Raw genomic sequence first — 15,097 nt, 5'->3', positions numbered from 1 at the left:
AACATCATAATTTGCATATAACAGGCAGTAACTTAATATTTTGTGAATGGAAGGTATATGGATGTATCTAATTCTACTTACTTTCCCAGTCATTTTCTTTGTGAGAATAGGAATATGTTCTGGCAGTCACTCATAAGAAAATTGGAGGGACACTAATGGGCTATTTCTTTCCATTCTTTTTTGTGTACATGTGTAGGGGGCTTAATACTTAGGGCTGACAATGATATAGTCTACCCTAAATTTGTTTGCCAATTTTAGTAAGACTATAACTGAAAGAAAGAATTCAGGCAATATATACTTCAACTGGTATGCATCATTCAACATGAATTTATAAAACCCTAGCTGATATCTGAACTAAGTGCTACTTTTAACTCGGAAAAAGCAGAAGTAGTATAACTGGATGGATGTTCAATGTTCCACATCAAATGATCAATAAACAGCTCTGTCTAAACTATAATAGATTTATGTCACTTATATTCCCAAAGCAATCATTTCTCATGGCTGCTATTCTTCCACGTTCGTAAAAGTTCAATAAACCAGAAGATGGGCAAACTTTTTCTGCGAAGGGCCAGAGAGTAAATATTTTAGGATTTGTGGGCCATACAGTATCTGTTGCAACTCCTCAGTTCTGCCACTGCAGTGGGAAAGTAGCCATAGATAACAACTAAACAAATGGGGATGGTTCCATTCCAATAAAATTTTATTTGCAAATCCAGGTGGTGGGCTGCATTTGGCTCTGGGGCAGTAATTTGCCTTTCAAATAGAATTGAGGGTCAGGAGTGGTGGCTCACGCCTGTAATCCCAGCACTTTGGGAGGCCAAGGTGGGTGGATCACAAGGTCAAGGGTTCAAGACTAGCCTGGCCAACATAGTGAAACCCATCTCTACTAAAAATACAAAAATTAGCCTGGCCAACATAGTGAAACCCGTCTCTACTAAAAATACAAAAATTAGCCTGGCGTGGTGGTGCATGCCTGTAGTCCCAGCTACTCGGAGGCTGAGGCAGGAGAATCGCTTGAGCCCAGGAGGCAGAGGTTGCAGTGAGCCGAGATTGAACCACTGCACTCCAGCCTCAAGACTCCATCTCAGGAAAAAAAAAAAAAAGAATTGAGGCAGTAACAGTTTAAATGCAGGGTCAAGGTAGAGGTTTTTAAGGTAGGGAGGCACTGGCAGGAATACAAGAACCTAATCTCTGAGTCTTTGAATAAGGGTCAGAGAAAGAGAAGAAAAAACTCCTAGCTTTAAGTATAGTTATTGACACCAGTAATAAAGTCAGCCAATTACAGAGATAAAGAGTATAAAGAACCAAGAGGTTCAAAACTTTTGACGTTGGAATTTTTATTAGTTCAAGATATACATAAAACAGTGCAGATACTTCTTTAAAACAGTAATACTGTATTAAAGAGTTGATATGAAAGAAACAAACCTAAGGAATTTAATTCTGCAAATGCTGGTGCAAGAGGGTCTTTATATAGAAGAAACATCAAGCAAAGTTCGAAAATTACTTGAAAGAGGTGCAACAATGTTTAGCAAGCTAAATATTTTCTACAACAGCACAAAACATCCCCTCAGATCATTTGGGCAAGTTCCCTGACCTCAGGCATGTCACACATCATTCCTATGTTACTTCTTTCTGAGGGACTGGAGTCTCTGAACTCTGTCCACTTTGTGGTTTCTATATCTTTAATTCCTACTAAAGAAATATGCTAGTGACTTTCACCTTTCTGAAAAGAATGCTTTACTGGCCAGGTATAGTTTAGAAAGAGGAAGTACTCAAGTATTAGAGGGCCAAGGAAGGAAAAAAAAAGGGAGAAAAGTGAGCAGTATACATATGCAAATGAGAACTGAGGTGAAAATGAATTCAACTAAGGCTCAGTGTAATCCTACTCTAAATTTTTCTTGCTTCAGAATAACTTCTCTGACTATGCCCTACATTTTCTACAACAGCACAAAATATGCCCTCAGATCATCTGGGCAAGTCCCCTAATCTCAGGGATGTCACACATCATTCCTATGTTACTTCTTTCTGACAGACTAGAGTCCCTGGACTCCGTCCACTTTGTGGTTTCTGTATCTTTAAACTCCTACTACAGAAATATGCTAGTGACCCTTATCTTTCTGTACAAATTTTACTTCATGCATCAGGATCTTAAGCTATGGAATGTAACACTGTAGCTATGCTCTAATATAAGCAAAAAACAAACAAACAAAACAAAAAAATCCTTTGCAGAACAAAGCAAGGTATGAAGGGATAACTGAGATCTCTCTGTTTCCAGGGCTTTAAGGATTAGGGAAGGGTCCACTCCTTCTCTGGTGTATTTAATACATTAAAGAGGATCCACAGGTTCCTTCCAGTACACATCTTCCATCGTCTATTTGCAACCTATTTCTTCTTTTTATATTGTCTTCAATAAATCCAACATTCTCCCTACTGCTCTCTTCTACTAGTAGAGTGGGTCCCATAATTCCTTTTTCCCACAACAGAATTAGAGCAAAATCCTGAGTGAATAAAATGTTCTTGTTCTCAGCACAACATGCAGAGTCCCCCTTCTATGTTTTTCTACCTGCCTATTTTAAAAAGGTAATGTATTTTTTTTTGGTCAATCTTAGTTTGCTTTTCATTTTGTGAACAATATATTCTCTCCTACCTCAAATGACCCAAAAGCTGCATTCATTTAGAGTTAATCAGCTTAGGTATTGGTTAGTAGTGGCCAGAACAGTAGTTTAGGAGTCAGGAAACAGAGCTTCCTAGTACTGGCTCTGCCACTAAACGTCATTTTGGAGATTTATGGGCCTCAGTTTCCTCATATGTTAAACAAGGAGGGTAAAGCTGGTCTCTGAATCCCTTCCTGATAGTCTATGGTACTGTGAATTACAACTATCAATTAGTATGATGCAACAAAAGGTGAAGAGCAAAGTTAGTAACATATGTAGTGAATGCATTTTTCAGACATTTTTACGGTATCTAGAAAACCTTATAATACTGAAATGTGAAATCCAACATCTCATTTTAAAAGTCTAGTTTAAGAAGTAAGATTTAGGCCAGGCGCAGTGGCTCACGCCTGTAATCCCAACACTTTGGGAGGCCAAGGTGGGCGGATCACAAGGTCAGGAGATCAAGACCATCCTGGCTAACACGGTGAAACCCCGTCTCTACTAAAAATACAAAAAATTAGGTGGGCGTGGTGGCGGGTGCCTGAAGTCCCAGCTACTCGGGAGTCTGAGGCAGGAGAATCGCTTGAACCCGGGAGGCAGAGGTTGCAGTGAGCCGAGATCATGCCACTGCACTCCAGCCTGGGCGACACAGTGAGACTCCGTCTTAAAAAAAAAAAAAAAAGGAAACAAGATTTAGTAATCCCAGATCTTCAGAAATACAGTTAACCATCATTTAGTGTAGTGTTTCTAAATCCTTTTTTCATTATTGACCCTCTAAAAAGCCTTTTTAGACATTTTTCCCCTAATTGCTCCCCCTTCGTGAAATTTTAATAACACATATATAGTATATATCTGTGTACATACTGTATGTATATCTGCGCTTTATACATAAAAAGAGTAAAAATTTTTCACACTCCCCCAAGAACTATTTTCTCTTCCCCTTGGGGGAAGTATCACCCAGTGAGAATGTGTAATTTAGGAGATCAAGCTTCTGTGGTACCAAAACTTTCTGCTCCAATAAAAAATAGGTGTAGGCCAGGAGCAGTGGCTCACGTCTGTAATACCAGCACTTTGGGAGGCTGAGGCAGGCGGATCCCCTGAGGCCAGGAGTTCGAGACCAGCCTGGCCAACATGGTGAAACCCTGTCTCTACTAAAAATACAAAAAATTAGGCCGGGCACGGTGGCTTACGCCTGTAATCCCAGCACTTTGGGAGGCCGAGGCGGGCGGATCACGAGGTCAGGAGATCAAGACCATCCTGACTAACACGGTGAAACCCTGTCTCTACTAAAAATACAAAAAATTAGCCGGGAGTGTTGGTGGGCGCCTGTAGTCCCAGCTACTTGGGAGGCTGAGTCAGGAGAATGGCGTGAACCCGGGAGGTGGAGCTTGCAGTGAGCCGAGATCACGCCACTGCACTCCAGCCTGGGCGACAGAGTGAGACTCCGTCTCAAAAATAAATAAACAAATAAATAAAAAATAAAAATACAAAAAATTACCAGGTGTGGTGGTGGGCGCCTGTAATCCTAGCTACTAGGGAGGCTGAGGCATGAGAATTGCTTGAAGCCAGGAGGCGGAGGTTACAGTAAGCTGAGATCGTGCCAATGCACTCCAGCCTGGGCGACAGAGCAAGACTCCGTCTCAAAAAAAGACAAAAAAAAAAATGTAAAAAAGTCCAAAGCTTATTTGCTTGACAACCATTTCCATTCAAGCGGCTGGAGGTGAAGGTCAGAGGTGACAAAGCAGCTGAAATGACAAATATTACAGTCATGGCAGAAGATCTGGAGGTGAGTGGGGGAGGATACTAAGTTTCTTCAAAGGAGTGGGTAAGAAATGGGTTGAAGTTAGAAAAAAGCCGTGCTCCACACCAACTGGCTGCTACTTTCGGGTCCGAGTGGACTATCAGGGGAGGATGTTCAGATTCAGATGTTTGTCAACCTCAGGGTGGGTGCGCGCTCCCCCTCAGGTCAGCCCGTCCCACTACCCCCACCCAAGGTTGAGGGTGGGATCTCCGGACACCAGGAACAAGGGAGTTACCTGCAGAACCTCAACAAATAAAGGGACGGGAATTCTATAGGAAATCACTTTCCCGAACACCTCCTCCCCACCGCTTGCCTCCTCCAGTATCTCAACCCGGCTCACCCAAGTCCATTGATCAAAGGGGCACTGTTGACTCTTCTCAGAATGTTGCCGTCTGCGGTAGTGGAACTCGGCAGCGACTTGAAACCTAGTTTCATTTTCTCCTGTGCCATGTCCGGGTCGAGGAATAAGTTCTCAAGGCTTTCCGGCTCCCGTCCACACAAGGACAAGTCTACTTAGTGGGCAGGTGATGTAAGGAGAGAGGCAAAGGGGAAAAAGAGAAGAGAGGAGAAAGCTCTTAGGCGAGTAGGGGTGCCCACCTTTGCAGCCCTAGCAGCCCTAACATCAGTGAACACAAAGTTAGGCAGAACTGGCTCCGAACCGCCTATCTCCCATGATCGGGGCCTCTAACGATGAGAAGATCCCCCACCTCCAAGTCTATAATGTAACTGGGGAATTTAATCTGTCACCGCCGCGAATCCTTCTCCATCTCTCTCAGCCCTGGCAACTCATGGTAAGCCTTTCCGGCCAAAACAAAAACTACAATCTGCCGCCTTTGACAATCAGTTGGGTCCCGCCCCTCAGAGCCTGCGATAAGCTATCAGCCGGACGACGCCTGTTGTGATGCAGGCAATGACGTCACTTCAGGCGCCTTAGTCAGCTTTGCCAGGGGCGCACGCGCAGTTAAGAAACCGCTTTATCCCCATGTCCTGCCCTCCTTCCTCTTTCCCCAATGCCCACTTACCGTGGTTGTGCCTCTACTCTTTTACTAACCCTGGCATGGTTTCCTTAAGCATTATTTAGAAATGAAAGCGTTGGGAGGAGTGAGGTCCTTCCTGCCCTATGCCTAATTCTCATTTTTCTTATCCCTTTATGACTGAGGCCAACAAGCTTCTAACCTCCTATGATGCATTTTTCCATCCTGTAACAGCAGACACACTACACCTTTGTAATTTTAGAAAAGCAAAAGTCTGAAAAAAAAAAAAAAAAAAAGATACTGCTACCTAAGTGCTTAGAGGCCACTTGGTCCCAAAGGGTCTTGCTAAGGTGCTAACCTAACTGAGCTCATTTGGCAAACGAATTACTGTTTTCAGTGTGGTTTCTTTCTTTCTTTTTTAAACCATAATCGTACAGTTTTTTGTTTTTTTTTTTTTGAGATGGAATTTCGCTCTTGTTGCTCAGGCTGGAGTGCAGTGGCCGCGATCTCGGCTCACTGCAACCTCCACCTCCCAGGTTCAAGCGATTCTCCTGCCTCAGCCTCCCGAGTAGCTGGGATTACAGGTGCTCGCCACCACGCCTGGTTAATTTTTGTATTTTAGTAGAGACGGGGTTTCACCATGTTGGCCAGGCTGGTCTCGAACTCCTGGACCTCAGGTGATCCGCCCGCCTCGTCCTCCCAAAGTGCTGGGATTACAGGCGTGAGCCACCGCGCCTGCCTCAGTGTGTATTTTTACATTATATATAATCTGGCTCCTCACAGCTATTCATATAAAAAATAAAGACCTCAGCTAATTTACAAAGATTTGAGTTAAAGCAGTGAGGCTTTTTTAAAAACAAATATCTCAGAATTTAGTATCAATGCAAATCAGTGTTTTCATTTCAGGTAGTATTAGAAGCTACATACATTCTAAGAATGCTGCCATGGCTCATATCGTTTTAAGAACTACTCTTTTAGAAATTTTCACCATCACTTAATGAGCCACACTGAGTACTGAAATCTTAACTCCATGCTAATAATTTTGTAAAACCACACATTTTAGTAACCATATAGAGAACTGGCAGACAAGGCAAATAAACCTAGTGAAATGGGAGTTATTAATTAAAATAGTCATAACACTGGTATAGCACTTTACGGATAACATTTTTTTTTTTTTGAGACGGAGTTTCGCTCTTGTTGCCCAGGCTGGAGTGCAATGGCGCAATCTTGGCTCACCACAACCTCCACCTCCCTGGTTCAAGCGATTCTCCTGACTCAGCCTCCAGAGTAGCTGGGATTACAGGCATGTGCCACCACTCCCAGCTAATTTTGTATTTTTAGTAGAGATGGGGTTTCTCCATGTTGGTCAGGCTGGTCTCGAACTCCCGACCTCAGGTGATCCACCCGCCTCGGCCTCCCAAAGTGCTGGGATTACAGGTATGAGCCTCCACGCCTGGCCTACAAAATGTTTTCACATACTTATCTGGATTGGTTCAATCATCAACCCTGCTCAGCTACCCAGTGGTGAACTTAAAATAATGGGACAGTCTTGAGATAGTTCGTGACAAGTTATGACATGTAAGGTAATAAATATGTATTCTTTGTTCATTCTGGGAATAGAATAAGACAAACTTGAGTATATTAGGCAGAATTAGATTACTTAAATCCCAGACATGAGGATGATGTGGAGTCTCCATTCCTTATATAAGACAGATTAGTAATAGCTACCGTTTGTTGGGCACTTACTATGTGCCAGGTACTGTCCTAATCACTTTAAATAGGTGATTGCATTTAAAGTTTACAATAATTCTTTGAGGTAGGCACCATCACAATGCCCATTTTTCACAGGAGGAAACCAAAGCCCAGAGGGGTTTACTCAAGTTGCAACTACTAAGTGGCAAAGCCAAGATTCCTCTGCCCTTCTGTTTAAGTAAAAAAAAAAATGAGATGCCTCAGAATATCTCCTTGAATTTCTGTACTCATAAGCACTTGATAAATACTTCTGAAATTATTTTATGAATAAATGCAGGTTTAAATAGCCTATCTTTCATAGTTATCTTGTAAAGTAGGTAAATCATTTCTATTTTACAGTTGGATAAAATTCCAAAGAGATTAATGGCACATAATTAGATAGCAGGAGAATTCAGGCTAGTATCAAGATGTCCTAAAAGCCACTGTTAAAATTCCCAGGGTACCTGAACGTTTATAAAAGATGGTGGTTAAAGCTGAGTAAATTCAGGATGAATGCAGAAGGCAGTGATTAAAGACAGAACAGAGTCAAAAAACAAATTGTCTGAATAACAGAAAAATATGAAGCAGGCCAGTGAACAAGGGAATCTTACCTCCATTGTGTTCATTTTAATTTTCAACTTTTGCTAGTATTCTTGGCAGGTAGTAAGGTTTCATACGTATATTTTGAATAAATAGACAAAATTTCATCCTGCCTAAGCATTACAAGTATCTAATTTTTAAATAAGTACAACAACACTAAGAAAATAGGTATAATAAAATGACAAGGGAAGAGTGACTAAGGGACTATGTTTCTAAGAAAAGGAGTAATATGAAATAACTAAATATATGAGATGGTAATAAGTTTACAGCTATTATCAAAGAGAAGGAGCTCTCTTTTACAAAAGAACAGCTACATGTCAGGAACCCCAAACCTGTAAAGATATAAATAGGACTCATAGTACATACACAAATTGGAATATCAAAAGGAACAAGTAATACAAAAACAGCAAGAATTCTATATGCTACAATGGCAAACACAACATTAAAGAAATTGTTTTTACTTCTCCCCATTTCTACGCACACATTATTATACCAACCTAGCTGTGTTTCTTGATCAGTCCTTCCAGTTCCAGGGAAATATGCCATGATCTTGGGACACTGCTTTTGTTAGATCTAGACTTGACAATTAGGCTACTCCTCTCTTTGCATATCCCAGTCTGCTGCGTCTGTCCCAGGCCCTCACCTATAAAAGGGAACCAACAAACATGTGATAATCAGCTCTTTATTTTACCAGTTGTCATGACAACCTTGAAGCTACGTTGTAACCTTTAGTTACCACAAGAGCAAGTCAAATACAAGTCAAACCCAAATCTACAAACCACAAACACCCCAAACCTTCCCAAAAGATTTACATGAAAGGTTAAAAAAAAAAAAAAAACTAGCAGGCAAGAATGATGTTAATAAAACCTAGAAATGATGGCCAAAGTAGCATTATTCTCCTCGCGTTCTCCTAAATTGTTAAGCTCCTGAGGTCAGTGCATGCATGTGGTCAACAAATGATTGTTTAGTAGCTATTGTGAACAAAAGAATGTATTATAATTTCTTTTGAGCAGGGAGTAGGAGGTGGGGCTGGCCTTAAGGGTTGCTGAGACCTTGAGATAAAAAGAGATACCTAAGTTGCTCAAAAACAGAGGTTGTTGTTTCTAATCTAGCTGGGAGAAAAATACAGGCAATTTAAAGGAAACTATCTAAAAGTACTTACAAATCCCTCATACTGCAGGCAGAAAGCATAAACAGTGAGGAATAAAATGATAATTGGCCTTGGCAAGTTTAGTATGGGATAATTGAAAAGAGGCAGGCAAAATTATTATTTCTGGCTGAATTTTGAAAGCAATTTCAGAACTATTACATTTCAATGCAATGGCCTTCTCTTCCCCAGGGCCATTCAAGTGGTGAGGATTAAAAGAGTTTGTGGAGTCCTGATAAGATAAGTAAGAAACAATGAGAAAGGGGCCCCAGGTGGGGAAGAACAATGAAAAATTGTTCTGAGAGACCTAGGGCACAAAGACCTCCTTCCACATGTGGCCCCAGCAGCATGACTTGTTTCCACATGCAGCCCCCTCCAGCTCCCTCCAGCCCCTGCCTCTTTGCAGACAGCTCCTCCTCTGCAGTGCTGCCCTTTGCCTCCTTGCAACATACTTCCATACCTTCTCTAGTAAATCTGCCTTTCTTTACCTACAACTGTCTTGGTCAATTCCTTTACCACCTGCGCCACTGGCCAGCTGCACCTGCAACATTTTGGTAGTTCGTATGGGCCTCTCCCCTACTTTCTCCCTTTCCTCCAATTCCAACCTCTCGTTGGACAGTGTCAAAACCCTGAGATAATTTTAAGTCCCTGGCCGGGGCTGCTCCCCAGGGAACCAGAAGGTCCTGGTGGAAAGACACCAGACTGCTGTCCCACGATTCTGTGAGACTTCAGAATTTGCTTTACTTTTCAGTCTTCCAGAGGACAAATTCTAGTATCCCTCTGGCAATTGATGGCAACTGGTCAGGGCCATTTCCTGGTGTGGCCTCAAGGCCAGCGGGTGTGAACAGGTTTGGCTGCCTTGCCTAGAAGGGAAGAAGGCCCTCTCCTATCTCTTCTGGCGAAAAGGTCTGCAATCCCTATGTAGTGCAATTGGCACATATGTTTTGGGGAGCTCAGAGCCCCTCTTTCTTACTCTAAATAGTCCTGCAAAAACAGCCAGACCTCCTGCTCTGGACGTTCCCAAATTAGGTGATAGCAAGCAGCCTCAGAGCAGTGAGTCTCCCCATTCTGGTCCTCTCTCCTGGGATGGGACCAGGCTGAGTTCTTCCTTTACCCTTTTTCCTTGTACCGGGGCTAACCATCCAGCGTAAGGCCCCAGCGCTGAGATGTCCTTTCTAATAGGTGGGATGCCCCTTTAGAGAGTGCACTTGAGGCCGGGCACGGTGGCTCATGCCTGTAATCCCAGCACTTTGGGAGGCCGAGGTGGGTGGATCACCTGAGGTCAGGAGTTCAAGACCAGCCTGGCCAACATGGCGAAACCCCATCTCTACTAAAAATACAAAAAATTAGCTGGACGTAGTGGTGCATGCCTGTAATCCCAGCTACCTGGGAGGCTGACACAGGAGAATCGCTTGAACCTGGGAGGCGGAGGTTGCAGTGAGCCGAGATCCCACCACTGCACTCCAGCCTGGGCGACAAAGCGAGATTCCATCTCAAAAGAAAAGAAAAGAAAGTGCACTGGAATCCCTCAGCAGATGTGAGTTGAGCCCTCTTCCTGGTGGGGCAGGGGGGTGGGGGCGGCGAGAGAGTGTGGTTCGTGTCTGCAGCAGACGTTAGTCCCCGGCAGCTCATCGTTTTCCAGTCCCACCATGGGACAAACCTCCTCTATTCCGTCAGACTCACCTATGAGTTGCATCCCAAAACGCTGAGACAAATGTAACCCTCAGATTAAAAAAAAAAAAAAAGTCGAATTTTCTTTTGTAATACAGCATGGCCCCTATGCAGAAAACCTCAAATCAGTCTCCTCAGTCTTTTATAACCAAGAGCAGGATAAGGACAGGGCTAAGGAGAAAGAAAAATGCAGGGACAAGAAGCAGGCTCAACTGTTGGCTGCTTTGCAAGCCCCCAGCCTCCATTCCAGGCTGCCCTAAGGATACTCCTCCAGATAACTGCCATCAGTGCAGAAGCCCAGGCCACTGGAAGGCAAACTGGCCCTATGGCATGAATGACGAAAAACCCCCGCATGGCTTGCCCCCTCTGCCACAAGCTCGGCCACTGGAAATGGGACTGCCCTGGAGGGCCAAAGGGTCCCTGGGACATAATCCCAACCCCTGATGATCATCAGGCCTTAAGCTGAATGGGGGCTTTCTGCTTTGGCTAGCTTCCAGATCAAACATGAGTCATCAACAAAACAAAACCAAGGGCAACTCTGGAGGTGGCAAGTATTATAAACTTCCCTTTTGAGTTAAAATGCTGCCTATCATGGAGATGCCCCCTCTACCCCTTTCTGGAAATACCTTTTGCTTATGTGGTAAAAACCTGGAAAATTACTATCTGGACTTTTATTTAGATTGAGTCACTATTGGAATTGAGTGCACCATGAAAAGAAAATGGTTAAATTAAAAGAAGGATGCATAATAGTAACATGGCTAGTCTTAGAAAATTCTCTTGAGCAGTTAAAACCTTTTGCAAACTTGAAAATGCTCTAAACTCATGGTAAAACAACAGTAGTCACCTTGTGCTGTAGGTCAGTTGCTAAGGCTTTGCCCTATCACAATGGCGCCTGGGTTCAATTCCTGGCTTTGAAAGTCAGTCCTTTGTGGTTTAATACTTGTGGTACTTTTGCCATGTATTGATTATTTTTCCCTCCATGGACAGCTTCTTATTTCCTGTCTTGAAATTTTCTTTTCTCTGAGTTACCTTTCGGGCAGTTCTAGATCTTATAAATTGCTTGCCATCTCTTTGGAGACACCTCATGTGTCCATGTTTAAATCATCCCCTCAGTTAAGGCTTCCTTTTTATTTTTTTGAGGCAGAGTCTCGCTCTGTCGCAAGGCTGGAGTACAGTGGTGTGATCTTGGCTCACTACAACCTCCACCTCCCAGGTTCAAGCGATTCTCCTGCCTCAGCCTCCTGAGTAGCTGGGACTACAGACGAGCACCACCACGCCCTGCTAAGTTTTGTATTTTTAGTAGAGACGGGGTTTCACCATGTTGGTCAGGATGGTCTCGATCTCTTGACCTTGTGATCCGCCCACCTCGGCCTCCCAAAGTGCTGGGATTACAGGCGTGAGCCACCACGCCTGGCCAAGGCTTCTTAATTTCACATAGGAGGTTACCTTTAGTAGAAGGTTCCAAAGCCAGAAATATTGGTTCTGTTGCCCGGGCTGAGTGCAGTGGCGTGATCTCTCACTGCAATCTCTGCCTCCCAGGTTCAAGCAATTCTCCCACCTCAGCCACCAGAGTAGCTGGGATTTACAGGCGCATGCCACCATGCCCGGCTATTTTTTTTTTTTTTGAGATGGAGTCTTGCTCTGTTGCCCAGGCTGGAGTGCCGTGGTGTGATCTCAACTCACTGCAACCTCCACCTCCCGGGTTCAAGCGATTCTCCTGCCTCAGCCCCCCGAGTAGCTGGGACTACAAGCACCTGCCACCATGCCCAGCTAATTCTTTTGTGTTTTTAGTATAGACAGGGTTTCACCATGTTGGCCAGGCTGGTCTCGAACTCCTGACCTCGTGATCCACCGATCCACCCACCTCGGCCTCCCAAAGTGCTGGAATTACAGGTGTGAGCCACTGCATCCGGCCGGTAAGGAAGGTTTTAAATAAAAATTTTATATGAGAAAGGATTTTTTTTTTTGACACCAAGTCTGCCTAGGCTGGAGTGCAGTGGTGTGATCTCAGCTCACTGCAACCTCCGCCTCCCAGGTTCAAGTGATTCTCCTGCCTCAGCCTCCGGAGTAGCTGGGATTACAGGTGCCAACCACCACACCCAGCTAATTTTTGTATTTTTAGTAGAGACAGGGTTTCACCATGTTATGTTGGCCAGGCTGGTCTTGAACTCCTGACCTCAAGTCATCCGCCTGCCTCGGCCTCCCAAATTGCTGGGATTACAGGCATGAGCCACCACGCCCAGCCAAGAAAGGATCTTGTATGACAAATTTTTGTCCTAAAGTAAAATGACCTGTTGTTTAAGAAAGGGGTGTTTAGGACAAGTCAGAAAGCCCTGATGTCCAAGTCAGAAAGTCCATGTCATAAATGGTCTGTGCAAGTAGTGAGAAGGTTCGCAAAGGAGAAGTTATGAAAGGAATTTTCTATGTGTTTAAGTTGGTTATAACTGAAAGGGAATTATTTAGGATAGTCTAACATTGGTCCCCTATGTTAAAAACAAGATTTTCTTAAGATATTAATCTGGTCTTAATAAAACTGTAAGAAGTTAAAGCTTCACAGAATAATATCTCAGTTCAACTTTTGCTGTGCCCTGCTGCTTTCAGCTTTTTCTTCCCGGAGAATGCCAAAGATAATAACTCTCTCCTTCATTTTTTGTCAGCTCCTGTAACTTTTTCCTCCAATTCTGTTATTATGGCCTAATGCTAAAATATTTCATCTTGAAAATCAAAAAAATTAAGCAATGTTTTCCTCTAATATAACTTAATTCTGTACGCTTGGCTTTTAAAAAATATGTCTAAATTCTCAATGTAAAAAAAAAAACTTTTCACGCTTTTCCTAAGAGTTATGTATTCACCTGCTATACTCATAACCCTGAATACACTCTTCTTGTGTCTAATTACATTTAAACACTTTTTCATTGAGTTTAACTTCCAGGCTAACTAAATGGGCTTCCAATAAGGAAAAACAGTCACACTGCAAATGGTTGTGGGGTTTGTTTGTTTGTTTGTTTGCCTTTTCAGTAACTGGCTTAAGAAACAAACTTTTATCTTCTAGAATTCAGCAGTTTCACTTTCAAGTAATGCGTAAATGGGATATCAGTCTCTCCCCAGTGATGCCTGCTACCTTTATGAGTCTCCCCTGGATTCGGCTGGTCACCAGTTTTGCCTTGACATACTCCCACTCTGTGATGAGTCCCTTCCTCCAGCAAGATTCAATATCCTAAGTCCCACAATCTGGGACAATGACCCACAGGGTCTCTTGACAGACCAACAACCATAGGTGGGGTCAACTCCACACCCCTAATCAGCAGGAAGCAGTTGGAAGATGAGACCTCAGCCCCAGTGTCAAAGATTTGTCATTGGTGTTCTGAGGGGTGTTACGGTGGTGGGATGTGGAGTCCTGAGAATAAGCAACAATGAGAAAGGGGCCAGGTGGGCCCCAGGTGGGGAAGAACAATGAACACAAACAACCAGAGGGCACACCTTCCACACAGTGGCCCCAGCAGCATGACCTCTTTCTGCACCTACCCGCCTCCAGCATGACCCTATAAAACTTCCCTCCAGCCCCTGCCTCTTTGCAGACAGCTCCTCTGCAGTGCTGCCCATTGCATCCTTGCAACATATTTTCATATATTCTCTAATAAATCTGCCTTTCGTTACCTGTGACTGTCTCCGTAAATTTCTTTAGCACCTGCACCACTGGCCAGTCACACCCACGACAGAGTTAATATTTCTATAACTCTTAGAATAGTGCCTAGCACATAACAAGTGTTATGTAGGTGTTTGTTAAATAAAAAATCCAAATCTTGACCGGGCGCGGTGGCTCGTGCCTGTAATCCCAGCACTTTGGGAGGCCGAGGCGGGTGGATCACCTGAGGTCAGGAGTTCGAGACCAGCCTAGCCAACATGGCGAAACCCCGTCTCTACTAAAAATACAAAAAATTAACCAGGCGTGGTGGCAGGCGCCTGTAATCCCAGCTACTTGGGAGGCTGAGGCAAGAGAATCGCTTGAACCCAGGCGGGGTGGGGCAGAGGTTGCAGTGAGACAAGATCGTGCACTGCCCTCCAGCCTGGGCGAAAGAGCGAGACTCTGTTTAAAAAAAAAAAAAAAAAAAAAATCCAGATCTCACCCACGCTGAGGCATGATTGTTAGGGACTCTGTAATTCCTAGTAAGAAAAAACATTTGGTTCTGCTTGCTACCCGTTCTTCAGGACTTTTCCTAGTTTTGTTGAATCTAAAGGTGCTTGCAAAAGGGAGCTGAGTTTCTCATTAGCTATACGAACTGTCATGATATTCGCTTTATTTTTACCCATTGCGTTTGTTTTCCCACTTCTCTTTTGTCTAGTGCATCCGAATGGATGATCTGAAAAAGAAATCAGCCCCTGCAGACAAAGACCAACAAAATCGAGGGATTTAAGGCATGAGTGGGGATCACAGAGGTCGGAGCGTACAAATTAGGAGTGAAATAACATGGAAACCCCATGTTTTTCTCTATTTCCCATGAATATTGGCCCAAACTCC

General features: G+C 43.6%; 1 protein-coding gene across 39 annotated transcripts in view, besides 3 other annotated features; it reads right to left on the bottom strand.

The window, feature by feature from the left end:
* PABIR3 (PABIR family member 3) overlaps nucleotides 1-15,097 on the bottom strand; it is a 68,408-nt gene that overhangs the window by 52,268 nt on the left and 1,043 nt on the right. For 19 of the 39 annotated variants that reach the window (NR_170982.1, NM_001388446.1, NM_001365744.3 and 16 more), the window contains 2 exons: nucleotides 8,258-8,403; nucleotides 4,796-4,964 (listed from right to left, as the gene is read on the bottom strand). Coding sequence is in view for 36 of the 39 variants with exons in the window: in NM_001388446.1 (NP_001375375.1) it covers nucleotides 4,796-4,964; nucleotides 8,258-8,306 (218 nt within the window). In the remaining 3 variants the exon portion in view is untranslated. Of the gene's footprint in view, nucleotides 1-1,320; nucleotides 3,318-4,795; nucleotides 5,268-8,257; nucleotides 8,404-15,097 lie in introns of those variants that run through there. The other 20 variants (NR_158606.2, NM_001388449.1, NM_001388447.1 and 17 more) reach the window with 6 other exon arrangements.
* Nucleotides 1,804-1,873: a silencer, noted in NCBI's record as "silent region_21015". NCBI's record gives its function as "represses an Ori minimal core promoter by ATAC-STARR-seq in GM12878 lymphoblastoid cells {active_cell/tissue: GM12878}" and the evidence as "EXISTENCE:reporter gene assay evidence [ECO:0000049][PMID:35858748]".
* Nucleotides 3,409-4,365: an enhancer, noted in NCBI's record as "H3K27ac-H3K4me1 hESC enhancer chrX:133942169-133943125 (GRCh37/hg19 assembly coordinates)". NCBI's record gives its function as "activates a minimal SCP1, AML or CMV promoter by ChIP-STARR-seq in primed H9 embryonic stem cells {active_cell/tissue: H9 hESC(primed)}" and the evidence as "EXISTENCE:reporter gene assay evidence [ECO:0000049][PMID:30033119]".
* Nucleotides 4,751-4,910: an enhancer, noted in NCBI's record as "active region_29977". NCBI's record gives its function as "activates an Ori minimal core promoter by ATAC-STARR-seq in GM12878 lymphoblastoid cells {active_cell/tissue: GM12878}" and the evidence as "EXISTENCE:reporter gene assay evidence [ECO:0000049][PMID:35858748]".

This window comes from Homo sapiens, chromosome X, assembly GCF_000001405.40.
Source record: "Homo sapiens chromosome X, GRCh38.p14 Primary Assembly".
Lineage (NCBI taxonomy): Eukaryota > Metazoa > Chordata > Mammalia > Primates > Hominidae > Homo > Homo sapiens.
Note: the sequence above shows the minus strand (reverse complement) of the source record. Positions and strands in the feature narration are given on the sequence as shown.